We start from the raw sequence: 16,820 nt of genomic DNA, 5'->3' as shown, positions 1-16,820 counted from the left end.
TAACATTTTTAAAAATTTGCAAAAGAACTTAAGAGGATTAAAATACAAGGCATAGATTGGGAGAAAATATTTGCACATCACGTATCTGATAAAAGACTTGTATAAGGAACATAAAAGGAACTCTTCAAATTCAATGGTAAGAAAACAAACAGCCCAATTAAAAAAATGGGCAAAAGATCTGAAAAGACACTTCACCAAAGAAGACATATACAGATGGCAAATAAGCATATGAAAAGATGCTCAACGTCATTTGTCATTAGGGAAATGCAAATTAAAACAATAATGCGATACTTCTATACACCTATTAGAATGGCTGAAATCCAAAAAGACAGACAAAATACCAATTGATGGCCGGGATGCCGATCAACAGGAACTCTCATTCCTTGCTGGTGGGAATGAAAAATAGTACAGCCACTGTGGAAGACAGTCTGGCAGTTTCTTATAAAGCTAAATATAGTTTCACCATATGATCCAGTAATTGTACTGACACTAGGTATTTACCCAATTGATCTGAAAACTTATGTCTACACAAACCCGCATGTAAATATTTAGAGCTGCTTTATTTACAATCGTCAAAAACGGGAAGCGACCAAGATGTCCTCTGATAGGTGAACAGATAAACAAACTGACCCATCCATACAATGGAATATGAGTTGGTGATAAAAGGAATGAAGCAAACCACATCTGAAATCCACATTGCTAAGGGAAAGCAGCAAGTCTGAGAGGCTCCATGTTGTATGATTGCATTTATATGACATTTGAGTAAAGGTAAACTAAAGACAGAAAATCGATTTGTGGCTGTCAGAGGTTGCAGGGCAGGGGCTGAATAGGTGACATACAGGAAGTCTTCTAGGGTGATAAAACTATTCTGTAAGATACCATCATGGGGCATATGTGACATGATGCCTTGTCAAAGCCCAGAGACCCTTACAGCACCAAGAGTGAACCTTGAAGTATGCAAGTAAAACCATCTAGGAGACAGGGAAACCCCATGATGGAATGAAGATTGTATGACAAACATATGACAACCTCACTGAAGGTAGTGGGGGGCAGGAAGATGCTGACCTAAGTCATTTTGGAAATGAGTAGAGACTGTAAAACTAAAGATAACAGGAACTGCGCATCAGCACTGTATTCTAGTTAGTAAGGGTGCTTCCCACAAAGGTGGAGGCTAACAATTCTGAAACCACTACACAGGAACATCAGGATGGAACAATTACATAAAAGGATGGAGGATGGCAGCGGCAGGTCTCTCACTGTTGGAGAGGGAGGTGATGGATAAGCAAGGGCAGATGGCGGGAATGAACCATGTGCCACTAGAGTAGAGACATCAGTGTGGACTCAGGTTTCCCTTAACACAGATGCAGACATGTAAGTATAAATACATACATAGACACCCACACACACAGGTTAGTATAAACACATGTTTCTGAGCTCTGTCTGCTGACAGGGCCTAAAGCAATGACACCTAATGCCCAAACCTTGGTTTCCAAGGCCATTCTACAGCAGAAGAAAGCATGCCTTCAGGGGAAGCAGCAGCACGTACGGCTGGGGCAGGGAGCACATGAATCTGGAGTCTTCTGTGGTGCCAGAAAGTAAAGAAGTGCTCAGACAACAACAACAAAACCAAAAGACACTATTTTGGTGGGGGCAAGTCAAACGGACACAAAACCTAACTGAAAGAGCTCCCAAAGGCCAAAGCTGGAACAATTTGAGCCACAAAACAAATAACATAGTATTCGATTATAACCCAAAGTACACAACGAGTATCTGTAAGTTTATGCTACAGTATATATAAATAAATGATTGGGTAAATACATAAATGAAGAGAACGGACAAATCCCCATACAGCTGTATTCTGAATAATTTATGTGGCTACCCCACCCTCAAGAAGGTAAAATATAATCTGCCACTCCTTAAATGTAGCTGGCACATACTGACTTCCTTCTAACAGCCACATGACGAAGTTGGGGGAGAAGTTACTTTCCAGTGGAGAGACCTGACCAACACCCCCTCAGCCAGATGGCCAAGGTCAACAACCACAGTGATGAGCCATGTTGATAGCATGCACCCTTGGACGGGATGTGCTGATAAGATGAGAATGGCACTTTACCTCTGTGCCTTCCTCCCTAAAGCCCATAAGCTGAGTCTATCCATGAGAAAAACATCAGGCGAAGCCAAGGTGAAGGATAGTCAATGAACCCTCTAACAGGTATTCCTCAAAACTGTCAAGATCATCAAAAACAAGGAAGACTGTCAGCCTGGAGGAGGCTGAGGAGCCAGGGTAACTAAAGATAATGTGTTATCCTGCATGGGAACCTGGAACCAAAAGGGCTTAAGGGACAAACTAAGGAAATCCCAATAGAGCATGGTCATTAATTAATAATAATGTATTAATATTGATCCATTAGTTGTGACAAATGTACCATACTAATGTAAGACGGTAATAACAGGGGAAACTGGGTACTGGGTCTATGGGAACCTTCTGTGCTTACAACTTTTCTAGAAATCTAAAACTATCCTAAAATAAAAAGTTCATTTAAAAATGCTAGCAGAGGCCAGGCATGGTGGCTCACTCCTGTAATCTCAGCACTTTGGGAGGCTGAGGCAGGTGGATAACCTGAGGACAGGAGTTTGAGACCAGCCTGGCCAACATGGTGAAACCTCGTCTCTACTAAAAACAGAAAAATTAGCCAGGCGTGGTGACATGCGCCTGTCATCCCAGCTACTAAGGATGCTGAGGCAGGAGAATTGCTTGAACCCGGGAGGCAGAGGTTGCAGTGAGCTGAGATCCTGTCACTGCACTCCAGCCTGGGCAACAGAGTGATACTCCATCTCCAATCAAACAAAAAAGCTAGCAGATTTTGTTCATCATAGAATTAAATCTGCCTCCATTTAGGCTCTTAAAATATTACCAACAACAAAACTGTGTATTATGCCAAATTTTTAACTTGCTGGAACTTTCCAGTCCCTAAAGCTGAGGGCCAATCTTCCTTCTCTCTTTAATGTAAAAGAAAGTGGGGCCTCCTCCATGCTCCCACAGCGCCTTGCCCTGGCCACCGTCATCACACTTGGAACGCTAAATCCAATAGTCTGTCTACTCCACTGACTGCAGGATCCTTGAAGCTAGTACCTGCTCCCAGGCCTACACACAGAAGGGAGTGAACATACACTGGAAATGTAACTTGGTTTAATTTCAGTAACGAAAGCCTTGCTTCTAAGAGCAGACATTATGTTGCCATTTTGGAGTTACTACTAAGTTGTTCATTCTTTCTTGAGTGATAATTTCAAAATTCAATCTCATAATAATCTATTGTTGTCCTTTTCTCAAAAGAAGAAATAGAAAATAGGATTTTAAAAGCCCATGAAAAGAAAATCAGATGCAATGCAGGAGGCATTCCCAGAGTGTATATTTTATATCTTAAAATATCATAGAGTAGCATCAGAAGCAAGTAGAATATTAAAGTTGTGATGAGAGATCATGAAAGAAAAATAGAGGGTGGGAAGAGGAGGAAGAGGAGAGGGATGGGAAGGGGGAGGGGGACACACACTGACTACTCTTGGAATGACTGAGAAGTTGGATAGATCCCAACTTCGGCAAGATCCAATTGCTGCTCATCCCTGTCTTGATAACATCCTTGGGTTTTTGTAACCACTGACTGATTAAATAGCATCGTAACCCCCACCACCAGCACGCTTACTAAGTACCTATTTTGCACATGCCATCACGCCAGGTTTCTTTCACATTACCATGTATAAAAATTATTAGCCACTCAAGGAAGAAAGCTCGCTGCGGTAAGAAAACCTGGTGGAAGGAAAAATACCTCCTAGTGTTGAGTCTGAACAGGTGCCAGCCTGGATCTTGAAGATGACAGGAAAGAGGAGCAGCTGTAATGAATCATTTTCAGATAAGTGCTCTTTAAAAATGCAGAAGTGACATAGCAGCAGGGAAGTTTCAAACACAATTTTCTGCTCGTCATGTGCTAAGGTAAATGGATCCCTAGCTTCCAGATGACACTAAGATATGAGAGATTCTTTTGGTTCATGAAAGGGTTGTTTTAAAAAAAAAATTAACTTTTTCCTAGAGGCAAAACACGACAACAAACACAGCACCAAAAGGAGAATTTCTCAGATGAAAGGAGCCTGAGAAACGCTGTGTTTGGAACGCATCCGGTGGAAGGATTGCAGGATGGCTGGAATCCTGTCTCTGGGGGTAAGAGGTGCCCAGGTGAAGGAGGGCAAGGGTCCTCAAGGCAGACAGGACTGGACTCATCCTCAGCTGAGCTGGAAGACACAGCACACGCCTTGGATTCTTTCTAAAATAAGGTCAGAGTGCCCACCCACCTTGCAGGGCTGCTGTGAGGACTAGGAATGAGCAATGCGAAGTTTCTAGTACAGTGCCCGGCACATAGTAGACACCCTAGAAGTGGTAGCCATTATCCCCTGGCTACATCCCGACAATAAAATGCTCTGTTGTGGACAATGGGTGCAATTTTGTATCGTGAATATAATGTGAAGAGAATAAAATGCTATGGTCAAGTGGTACCAGAGGCAGAATCAGAGCCAGTGAGAACCCATGGGCTGCATATCCTGTACACAGATTTGGAGTAGAACCCTAGGCACATTCTCCCCCAAAACCAGCCACTTACTTCCTGTGCTTACACCAAGGCAGAGTGGGGGAGGTAGTGGAGAGGAGGGGAAGGAACTCAGGCCTGGGATTCAGGGGCCGGGGCGCCAGTCCCTGCTGTGTCCCCACCTAGCCAGGTGTCCACAGGCAAGGTCCTCTGGGTCCAATTTTCCTTACCCATAAAGGAAAGCCTTTGCTCAAAAATGTTCCTTAAGGTATCTTCCCACTCTGAAATCTGTTGTCTTTCATTCATGTGAGAAGCGTGTTCTGTAAAGCAACATTTGAGTTTCCCAATGAGTTGGCCTCTCTGAGAACAGACCCTACCAACCCGCTGGAAGTGAAGGGAGAAGGGCAACCAAGCTGAAGACTGGTTTCCAGTAACAGGTGCGGTATTTATGCTCAGCAGTTTCCTGTTATATTTCATACTATTTAAACCACCTTGAGTTAGATTCCCTGCAATATGACTCCATAGTTTGGTAACTGAAAATCTAACTAAGGTATTAAAAATCTCAGGTCCAAACACATTCATAATTAAGCCTGAAATAAATTTTTTTCATCATTCTAAATGGTTGAATTAGAATAACCAGACTTCAAAAAGCACTATCCATGATAATATATTTTCAAAACTACAGTTGATATGAATAAATCTAGAAGTTCTAGTAAAGCTAGCCAAATCTACTAATGCATTTTTTTGATATTAAGTTATAATCTAATGATCAAGAAATGCTTTTAACTTACATCACATCAATAATGCAATGTGCACTATTTGATATATAAAACTCCCATTAGGCTTAAAAACATGATTACATATATGATTATATGAGGAAATCCAAAGTTTACTTTTAACATATCTAACCACTATGAAGCTAGAATTCCTAATTATCCATTTCAAAATTTAAAAGATGTCTGTATTTAGAACTGGAAAAGGCAACCTGCTTTTGCTAAGTTATAAGACAAAGTAGATGATTAGCTGAGTGCTGGAGGAGATTCCTATCATCACCATCACCATCATCCAGCAAAATCACAGGTGCACGTATCCTCTGACCCAGCACCCCTACTTCTAGGCACCTGTCCTAAAGAGACTGGCAAAAATACAAAATGCCCTACGCATACGGCCAATCACTGCAGCACAATTTGCAAAACCAAAGCCTGTTGCAGGGACTGGTTGAATACACTGTGGCATCTCCTAGCAAGGGAGCACTGTGCAGCTGTAAAAGGAATGAGGAGGCTGGGTGCGGTGGCTCACGCCTGTAATCCTAGCACTTTGGGAGGCCGAGGTGGGTGAATCACCTGAGGCTGGGAGTTCACGACCAGCCTGACCAACATGGAGAAAACCCGTCTCTACTAAAAATACAAAAATTAGCTGGGCGTGGAGGTGCATGCCTGTAATCCCAGCTACTCGGGAGGCTGAGGCAGGAGAATCGCTTGAATCTGGGAGGCAGAGGTTGTGGTGAGCTGAGATCGCACCATTGTACTCCAGCCTGGGCAACAAGAGCAAAAACTCTGCCTAAAAAAAAAAAAAAAAGGAATGAGGAGGAGCTCTAGACACTGCAAAGGAATGCCTTGTAGGCCACACTGCTAAGTAAAAAGAGCAAGGTTCAGAACAAGAGAGCATGCTACTTTGTATCTACTGTCCAGAAACCTGAAACCCTGCAGCAGAGTTAAAACACTGTCTCTTACTGCATCACTTTAAAAAGGTTTCGAAATTATCAAAAGGTACATGTAGATGGGGCTGTCCATTGTACCATGCGTTTTCATTTGAATTCTTAGGCATGGGTCTAGGAGTGCAAGAATCCTGTAACATTAAAAATTCAATATAATAGAAATATAAATGGGGAAAAAGACATTAATGAACTGATTTCATAAAGTAATTTATTAACAACTGAAATGCCCATTGCCTGATAAATGGATAAACAAAATGTTGCATCCAGTGGAATATTACTTGACAATGAAAAGGAATGATGTGTGATCCAACATGGGTGAACCCTGAAAACAAGTATGCTAAGTGGGAGAAGACAGTGGCAAAAGACCACATATTGTATGAATTCATTTCCAGAAAACATCCAAGGTGGCAAATCTATGGAGACATGATGTAGACTAGCAGTTGCCAGGGACTGGGAGGAGGGAGCAACTGGAAATGACCGCTCATGGGTGAGGAGTTTCTTTCCGGGTGATACAAATTTTCTAAAATTAGATAGTGGTGATGGTTTTACAACTTATACTAATAATCAATGAATCGTACATTTTAAAAGGGTCAGTTTTATGGTATGTGAATTATATTTCAATAAAACTGCTATTAAAAAGTCATTCATTGGACAATTAGGGAAATCTGAATGCTGACTTGCTATTAAATGATATTAAGAAATTATTAATTTTTAAGTGTAATAATGGTATTATAGACTTTATTTTTATTTTTGCTTTATTTATTTATTTTTTTTTTGAGACAGAGTCTTGCCCTGTTGCCCAGGCTGAAGTGCAGTGTGTGACCTCGGCTCACTGCAGCCTCGACCTCCTGGGCTCAAGTGATCCTCCTGCCTTGGCCACCAGCATAGCTGGGGCTACAGGTTCACGCCATCACACAAGGCTAATTTCGGTATTTTTTGTAGAGGTGGGGTTTCACCATGTTGCCCAGGCCAGTCTCTAACTCGTGGGCTCAAGTGATCCACCTGCCTCAGCCTCCCAAAGTGCTGGGATTACAGGCATGAGCCACCATGCCCAGCCATTATGGACTTTAAAAAAGAGTCTATATCTTAGAAATACATACTGACATATTTACAGATAAAATGATATAGCGTCTTAGATTTGCTTTAAAATAATCCAATATGGGGTGAGGGGTAGTGGGAGAGGGTCATAATGAAAACTGACCACATATTGATAAATGAGAATGGCAGGTAAAAGGTACTCTTCTTTCTACTTTTGTACACATTTGAGAACATTTTCATAATACAAAATTTGAAACGTCTTTTTTAATCTCTGAAAAACTACAAACATCTACTAAACCCTTTTCTATAAATCACTACAGAATATCTATCTAAACTGGAGAGGGCAGCTAATGAGAGAAACAAAAGAAACTATAGTATGTTCTATCTAAAAGAGCAAAAGAGAAAAGATTTTTTTCTGTAATTTGCCAATTTGTAAGGAGAAGGTGCAGTAGACAAGAGAAAAAGCAAAAGCCACTTGCTCCTTAATTTTGGTTAACCAGGATAAAGAACTAAGTTAATTATTCATTAATGTCATTGACTGCCAAGAGCTTAAAAATTTTAATTTGTCAGTTGCACCTACCTAATAAAACTTGTGAAGAGACCGTAACATAGTATTTCACACAATGATGTGCTGAATATGATCTAGTGTATTTGGCACACTTTGCAAATCAAATTAAACCTTGAAAAAAGATTTTCAAATTATATTCATGTTTTAAATATTTGGTTTAATGTGAATAATGCTAACTTATGGAATACTGCTAGAGGCATGCACAGTGAGGCAATGCAGATGGCAGAAAGAACATGCCAGCCGGGCCCTGGGGTCCAGTCCCAGATTTAGCCCTTGTGTAGCCTGGGCAAATCACTAAACCTCCCAGAGGTTTCATTCTCATCTATAAAATGGGCACAATGATAGTTGCCTCACAGAAACGTGGAGGGGTGAAATGAGTGAATACATCCAAAATGTCTGCTGCAAAGTCCAGCCCTTAGTCAATCAATACATGGTACCTATGAGTAGTATTCTGAATATCAGTGTTAAGTGCCAGTGTAGCACAGGCTTCTCACAGCTAAAAATCTGTAGTTGGCTTTTGACAGTGGTTGCAGAGGCTATGTACTGAGGCTAGAGGGTTTTGATGTCTTGGAATGACAGGACTGACTTGCTTATTAACCTCCCCAACAGAAGCCTTCTGGTTATATTTAGTAATTCTCTGATCCATTAATTAATGAAGCCAATAATTATTATAATTCTTTGATATTCTAATTCATAGATCCACTAGTTGGTATAACTGATTGTAAAAGTTGCAAAGGCATATTAAAGTATTTCATATTAAAGTACTTTAAAAGGGAAGCTGCCTAACTAGTCTGAACAAACAAGCAAAATTTCAAATGGGAAATATGAGCTACTCACTGGTTAATGCATAACAAAATAGACAATCCCAGATACATGGCACAATGACTATATTTTCATCTACATTTTACATTTTAAAAATCCCTGCACTAAAATGAAAATCAGCTGTGTGTGTATACAATGGATTGATTGAACTCCAAACTACTCCCTGTCTTCTTGAAAACACATGTGAGTAAACCCCTGGCCTCCTGACATTTGCCATGAGCCCTGCTGTTGACCTCAGATTCAATGCAAAGAAAGAAGTGATTTTTTAGAACACAAATTTCTTCTGCTTATTAAGAAATACACACCACAGAACATTTAGAAACTAACTAAAAGTATTTAAAAATTCATAATCCTATTACTCAGGAAAAAACCCGTGAATTACTTTTGCTATACAGTACTTCATTCCAGTCTTCTTTGCATAAATTTTGTCTATTTAGTTGAAATGATACAGTATATACAGTTTTATAGCCTGCATTTGACTCAATGTAATGCGTAAGCATTTTCCCTCTTGTACCAGTAACACAAACATTTTTAAAGACCACACAGCATTTAATCATATGGAGGCACCATCATCTCCTGGCCATGCCCCTACTGCTTGCTGCTCCCTTATTGTTTCCTATCCAGTTTTTCTCCGTTGCGCACAGTGCTGCAATGAATTCCCTTACTCATCCATCATTTGTCTGTATTTACGGTCACAACAGCAATATCTAAGGGGTCTGTTCACTGTATTCTGCTACCAGAGTATTGCCCCACTCCAACCACAACTCTGAAACACTTCCGTATTAGCAAGAATTTTAATACAGCCCTTCGTGAACGATTTGATTCTCTTTTCTCCACTACATGGTAATCCAAGCTCAGCAAAGTGGAAACATTCCAAGTCATTCTATCCAAGAGTAAATCCAACATGAACCAAGCCAGCTTTATGGGCTGAGGTTCACCACAGTGAAGGTGTGTGATATGGTAGCCGGTTCTTCCTATTTTAAAAAATATCAAAGGAAAAGGAGAAAGCAGAGTCTGGGGAGCTCACAGAGACTGAGGAAATCCTAAGACCCAGAGCAGTATCCTCAAGGGAAAGAAGACCTGGGTAACTGGTGCAAGCAGGCCAACCGCAGGGACAGGGGAACAAGTGACAGCTCCCTCTCTACAGAATACCTATCCACAGGCCCAGCACATTACAGTGGGCCACAATCTCATCCCATTTCAGGAAGCCTTGACCTTAGCTGTCAGTGAATTATTTCCATGAACCTGCAGTTCTCATCGTTATACTAGTCAAGGCATATGAAGAATGATAGTCAGCCAAAGCTTAGAGGTCATGATAACATTCTTCAAATAAGTGGAGTATTATTGTGGAAAGGAATCAGAATGATTATCTATGGCTCCACAGGTACTGCTGAGGCCAGTGAGTGTTGACTGCAGTCTAAAAACTAGCTAGCGGCTACGGCAGCAGAAAGACACGCGCTCTTCCCGCACTGGCTTTGAGCAGGACCCCCAGTGAGTACCTGCCTGCTTCTTGGTGGCACAGCCACGCCCAGCATTGGGCAGACAGCAAAAGCTGTACACCCAAACCTCAACATACTGAGTGAGACCTAAGCATTAAAAAACTAACTGTGGGGGAAAAAATCATTTGATATTTAAAAATAAGAATGCAGGTCAGATGCGGTGGCTCATGCCTGTAATCCCAGCACTTTGGGAGGCCGAGGCAGGCGGATCACCTAAGGTCAGGAGTTCAAAACCGGCCTGGCCAACATGGTGAAACCCCGTCTCTACTAAAAATACAAAAAAATTAGCAGGTGTGGTGGCGTGTGCCTGTAGTCCCAGCAACTCGGGAAGCTGAGGCTGGAGAATCGCTTGAACCCGGGAGGCGGAGGTTGCAGAGAACCAAGATCACGCCACTGCACTCCAGCTTGGGTGACACAGCAAGAATCTGTCTCAGAAATAAAAATAAGAATGTCATGTGTCCAGGCTACTTCAAGTCTATATGAGCATGGCAGGCCAAAATATTATGAAGTGATAATTGTGTGGCCACTTAAAACCAAAGGAGATTTGCCTAAAATCCATCTTGCCTAAAAGACTCCCCACCCCAACCATGACCACAGAGAGCCAGCTCTAAAGACAGACAGAGGTGTGGGCACCAGTTCCCAAGTGCCCACGTGGCAGCTGCCTCAAAGATGAGCACAGCCAGGGCAGCTGCTGCAGGCACACCCCTCCCACGGGCACACCCCTCCCGTGGGCATGCCCCTCCCACGGGCACGCCCCTCCTGCCCCTGTTTCCACTGTGCTCTAATTAGCTGCACAGAAAGTAGAGAGCCCAAGGTCCCTCCACTCAGGGGATGCAGCCCATTCACCTGCTTTCTTGTGAATCTTTTTTTTACTTCTTGGTGTGACCTTCTGGCAACTAAGCTTTGATTTGCTTACAGTTAGAAAAAGAATGTTTATAAAGAAATATCAGATGACTATGAAAACATTTATTTTTCTGTGCAGTTATGAAATTCAAATCATTCTTAATCAAGAAAACAAAACTCTTGGGCACACCCTGTTATTTTCTTCCTGTAGTTTTCTAAAAATAAGGAAGTTTTAGAGGTCTGAAGATTTATATAAAACAGCTCCTTCAAATGTACCCTTTCAGACACAGCAGTCATCAGATTTATTTTTGGAAAGCTGGTAGGTCAAGAATACTTAAAATAATGCGGTTTCTATTTAAAATACCTGAATCACTTTGTAACTCAGGAGGAAAAAAGATTACTTAAAATGATTATTCAAAATGCAGACATCAGCCCAACAGGTGTAGCCAGCCATCTCACACGAAGCTGGTGATAACATCTGGGATGACAAAGAAATTGATTTCTTCCCACAGATGTGTGGAAATGCAGCCAAGTACTTGAGAAAAAAAAACTCAAAGACGCAACCTTAGACAGTCCTCCCTCCCAACTCTAAGGAAAATACACATTAACTGTGAAATAATTTGTTAAATTGAAATAACAATGAAAGGTATTCCTTTTGTTTGTTTTTGTTTTGAGATGGGGTCTTGCTCTGTCACCCGGCTGGAGTGCAGTGGTGCTCTCTGCAGCCTTGGCCTCCTAGGCTCAAGCAATCCTCCTACCTCAGCCTCCTGAGTAGCTGGGACCACGGGCACTTGCTACCACATCCAGCTAATTTTTAAATTTTTTGTAGGGATGAGGTCTCACTATGTTGCCTAGATGGGTCTTGAACTCCTGGGCTCAGGTGATCTGACCGCCTCAGCCTTCCAAAGTGCTGGGATTACAGGCGTGTGCCACTGTGCCCAGCCAATGAAAGGTATTTTTAAAGGAACATCTAAATGTTGTAATCTCAAAAAACGTTTTAGCCAAAGGCATCTTACAGCCAAGACGAATTCTCTTTTCTACAGTTAGTCACGAGGAAGAGTGATTCTGGCTAAAGACGAGCCATTTGCAAGTTCATGTAGACATGAGGGCGCCAGCTAGCTGGACAGAAATTGTTAGGAGGCGTTTTATTTCCAACATTGTCTAATTGTCTAATTCCATTATCTTCTAAGAAGATAATGACAACATTATTTAATACAAATATTGCTTTTTAATATCTCATTCCCAAGAGCCACAGGGACATGAAATGATGACTTAAATTTGCTAGAAATCTACCAGGGACAGAGCTCTGTAGCAGGTGATGTCCTTGTGGACAGCAGAGGAGATTCAAAAGGAACACTGGGCTTTGCATGAGAGTGGCTTGCTTTGCAGCTAGAAGAGGGGAAGAGCTAATGATAACATAGGACTCTGAGCTCCTCAGAGGGAGGCCCGCCACCTCTGCACCCCCAGTGCTTGGCTCAGAGCTTTGAATGTGGCATATGATCGAGTGTTGCTATGCTGAACTGAATGACAGTATAAGCTAAGTGCATATAAAGAGATAACAGTTTTCAAAAAAAAGCTAGGTAGAACAACCTCCAAAAGTGGCCCAAAGGATCATGGTTCTTTCTGCAAGCTCTCTCCATCCCAGAGAATCCTGATAAAGAACTGTTCTCGGCCGGGCGCAGTGGCTCACGCCTGTAATCCCAGCACTTTGGGAGGCCGAGGCGGGCGGATCACGAGGTCAGGAGATCGAGACCATCCTGGCTAACACGGTGAAACTCTGTCTCCACTAAAAATACAAAAAATAAGCCGGGCGTGGTGGCGGGCGCCTGTAGTCCCAGCTACTCGTGGGGCTGAGGCAGGAGAATGGCGTGAACCCAGGAGGCAGAGCTGGCAGTGAGCCCAGATCGCGCCACTGCACTCTAGCCTGGGCGACAGAGCGAGACTCTGTCTCAAAAAAAAAAGAACTGTTCTCAGTGGTCCATTTGGATTGTTCCTTCCTTGACTCAACAAGCATTTAATGATCACCTACAAATGTACATCACTGGGCTGTACAATTCACCAACATCAAGCCCCAAAATACTATCATACGTCGTGTGATTATGTTGACAGTGCTAAGACTGTTTTATTGTTATTCTAAGTTTCGATTCTCTGTCAATATTAAAGAGCACAATGTGTTTGCTAGAGCAAGATTCTGCCACGAGACCAATTCTACTGAAGTTCCTGTGTCACTCAAACGCCCACCTTTGGTAGGTCCTTTCCTGTTAAGCACGGCCTGCTGTTCCTCAGTAATGTTCAGCCGCCGAACCACATCAGCTAGAGCTGATTTGAGCAGCTGGATGTCGTCTTCTTGCATCTGGACTCTCTGCTCCAGTGAAGCAATGCGGTCTGTCACCTCCATGCTACTTGCAGCAGAAGCGCTGTCATCTAAACCAAAGAAAGGATCAAGTGAGCTTTAAGTGTTCCCCGGAAATCAGATCTATAAACATACTCTATCTAGCATGCTGTTTTAAGCCCATTGTTTTAACATAGTAACACTTACGGACTACAGATACTGCTCTTAAGCAGAAATCACATGAAATCTTTAGCTGTGTGTAACTACAACTCTTCATTCTACAATGGTCTTTTCATTCTCTACATTTGCACTCTTCATTATAAACTGTGGTTTTAATTGACATTATACTTTTCTACATGGAGGCCAACTTGTTTTCAGCGATACCGGAGAACCTTAGCAGTGGAAGGGATGTTAGAATACGTCCACTTCAACTTCCCACACACTGCAGAAACCCAGTCTGCATGGTCTTCTAGCTTCTGTTCCAATTATGTTAACTGACAGGTAGGTCATACAATCACAAGGCCACCCTATCCATCGGTCAAGACTCTGAAGGATAAAGCAATATGAGTTTGGCAAGCTACCCTTACAATTATGGTAATCATATTTTCTTACTCAGAATCATAATTTCCAACTCCTTATCAGGGTCTATAAACCTCTCCGTGATCTTCTTCGCCTCTCCAATCTCATTGTACATCATTCTTCCCTTCACTTACTGTGCTCCAACCAGAGAACACAGAGAACACTTTGGGAGGCTGAGGTAGGCAGACTGCTTGAGCGCAGGAGTTTGATATCAGCCTAGGCAACATGACAAAACTCTGCCTCTACAAAATACCAAAAAAAAAAAAAAATTAGCCAGGTGTGGTGGTATGTGCCTGTAGTACCAGCTACTCAGGAGGCTGAGGTGGGGCAGTTTCTTGGGGCCCGAGAGGTCAAGGCTGCAGTGAGCTGAGATTGCACCACTGCACTCCAGCCTGGGTGACAGAGCAAGACCCCGGGTGACAGGGTCGCCCAGGCTGGAGCGCAGTGGCGCAAAAACAAAACAAACAAATAAATGGCTGAAATAGCACAAATTTAATGAACACAAATACACAATTACAGGCCAGGTGCCGTGGCTCATGTCTGTAATCCCATCACTCTGGGAGGCCAAGGCAAACGGATCACCTAAGGTCAGGTGTTCGAGACCAGCCTGGCCAATAGGGTGAAACCCCATCTCTACTAAAAATTCAAAAATTAGCTGGGTGTGGTGGTGCGCGTCTATAGTCCCAGCTACTTGGGAGGCTCAGGTGGGAGCATCACTTGAACCCAGGAGGCAGAAGTTGCAGTGAGCCAAGATTGCACCACTGCACTCCAGCCTGGGCAACAGAGCAATACTCTGTCTCAAAATAAACAAATAAATAAATAAATAAATATATATACACACACACACACACACACACACAAATACACACACACAATTATGAGATACTAATCAAAGACTAAGCAAAATAAATGCAAAACAGCCCACCTCAAGGTACATTATAGTCAAACTGTTGAAAACCAAAGATAAAGAACAAATACCAAAAGCAGCAAGAGAAAAATGACATATTAAATACAAAAGACCTGCAGTCTGATTAACAGCTGACTTATCATGAACTAAGGAGACCAGAAGAGAGCGGAACTACATCTTTAAAGTACCACGTGAGAAAAAACTAAATTCAGAATTTTACATCCAGCAAAATATCTTCCAAGAAAGCAAGCAAAATAAAGACATTTTCAGAGTAACAAAACCAGAAAGAATTAATCATCAAAAGACCTGCACTGCAAGAAATGCTAATGAAAGTTCTTCAGGCTAAAGAAAAATTATATAAGATCAAACTCAGACCCTCAGAAAAAAATGAAGAGCACTGGAAATGATAAATACCTGCATCAGTTCAAAGACTCATTTTTTTCCTTTTTCCTTTTATGTTATTATGAAACCTTAAGTTTTATTATTTTTTTTTTTTTTGACAGGGTCTTACTCCGTTGCCCAGGCTGCAGTACAGTGGTGTGATCACAGCTCACTGCAGCCTTCACTCCCTAGGCTCAAGTGATCCTCCCACCTCAGCCTTCTGAGGATCTGGGACTACAGGCGCACCCCACCACGCTTGGCTAATTTTTAAATTTTTTATAGAGGCAGGGTCTCACTGTGTTGCCCAGGCTGGTCTTGAATCCATGGCCTCAAGTGATCCTGCTTCACCCTCCCAAAGTGCTGGGATTACAGGTGTTAGCCACTGTGCCCAGCCTTGAACCTTCAAACTTTTAAAGACAGAAATTAAAATATTGTCTTACAGGATTTATAATGTATTTTTATGTAATAAATACAAGTACCATAACATAAAAGATGGGGTAAATATGGATCTACAAGTTGCAAGATTTCAGTATTTTATATGAAGTATATGTCATTAATTATAAGTGGCTTTCATTTATTTTAATTGGCAAAAATTGTATATATTGTATACAACATGTTTTAAAATATATATATATACATTGTGGAATGGCTAAATTGAGCTAACACACACATGCATTACCTCACATACTTATTTTTGTGGTAAGAACACTTAAAATCTACTCTCTTAGTGGTTCTCAAGGATACATACATGTTATTAATTATACATATGTTAGTCACAATGTTGTACAATAGATCTCATGTAAGCAGTTATTATTAACTGTAAGGGGTTAGTATTAACTGTAGTGGAAAAGTCACAGATGTATATTGTGATCCCTCATAAATGACTAAAGAATAATGCAAAGGAGTGTAGCTAAAAAGCCAACAGAAAATTTAAAATGAAATTCTATATTCAAATAATTCAAAAGAAGGAAAGAAAAGAGTAACAGAGGTACAAAAAAGACAAGTAAAAAACAAAAAATAAAATGCTAAACTCAAACCCAATATAGCAATAATTCTATTACATGTTACATTAAAGCAATAATTTCATTAAACACACCAATTAAAAGGCAGAGGATGGCAGAATAATTTTTTTTTTAAAAAAGCAAAACCCAACTATATGCTGTCTACAAGAGATACACTTTAAATACAAAGACACAGATAGATTGAAAGTATATGAATGGAAAAAATATATACCATGGAAATAATAAGTATAAAAAGGCTGGATGGCAATATTAATATCAGATAAAATAGATGTCAAAATGTATTACCAGAAATAAAAAGGGCCATTTCATAATGAAAAAAGGGTCAATTATCAGAAAAACACTGCAATCATATGTGCCTAATAGAGCTTTAAAATACATGAAGCAAAACTGACAGAATTAAAGTTAGAAACAGACAATTCTATAATTTTTCCTGAAGATTTTAATGTCCCTCTCTCAGCAACTGATAGAACAACTAATAAAAAAATAAATAAAAGCTTGGGTGGTATAGCAAGATCTCATCTCTATAAAAAATTTAAAA

The 16,820-nt window shown here is 41.2% G+C and overlaps 1 protein-coding gene across 11 annotated transcripts in view; it reads right to left on the bottom strand.

Moving 5' to 3' along the window:
* EML1 (EMAP like 1) overlaps positions 1 to 16,820 on the bottom strand; it is a 204,339-nt gene that overhangs the window by 77,723 nt on the left and 109,796 nt on the right. For 7 of the 11 annotated variants that reach the window (XM_005267398.3, NM_001375411.1, NM_001440377.1 and 4 more), the window contains exon 2: positions 13,303 to 13,485. In XM_005267398.3, the coding sequence (XP_005267455.1) occupies positions 13,303 to 13,485 (183 nt within the window). Of the gene's footprint in view, positions 1 to 13,302; positions 13,486 to 14,005; positions 14,287 to 16,820 lie in introns of those variants that run through there. The other 4 variants (NM_001440375.1, NM_001440376.1, XM_005267399.4 and 1 more) reach the window with 2 other exon arrangements.

This window comes from Homo sapiens, chromosome 14 (assembly GCF_000001405.40).
Source record: "Homo sapiens chromosome 14, GRCh38.p14 Primary Assembly".
NCBI classification, from domain to species: Eukaryota; Metazoa; Chordata; class Mammalia; order Primates; family Hominidae; genus Homo; species Homo sapiens.
Note: the sequence above shows the minus strand (reverse complement) of the source record. Positions and strands in the feature narration are given on the sequence as shown.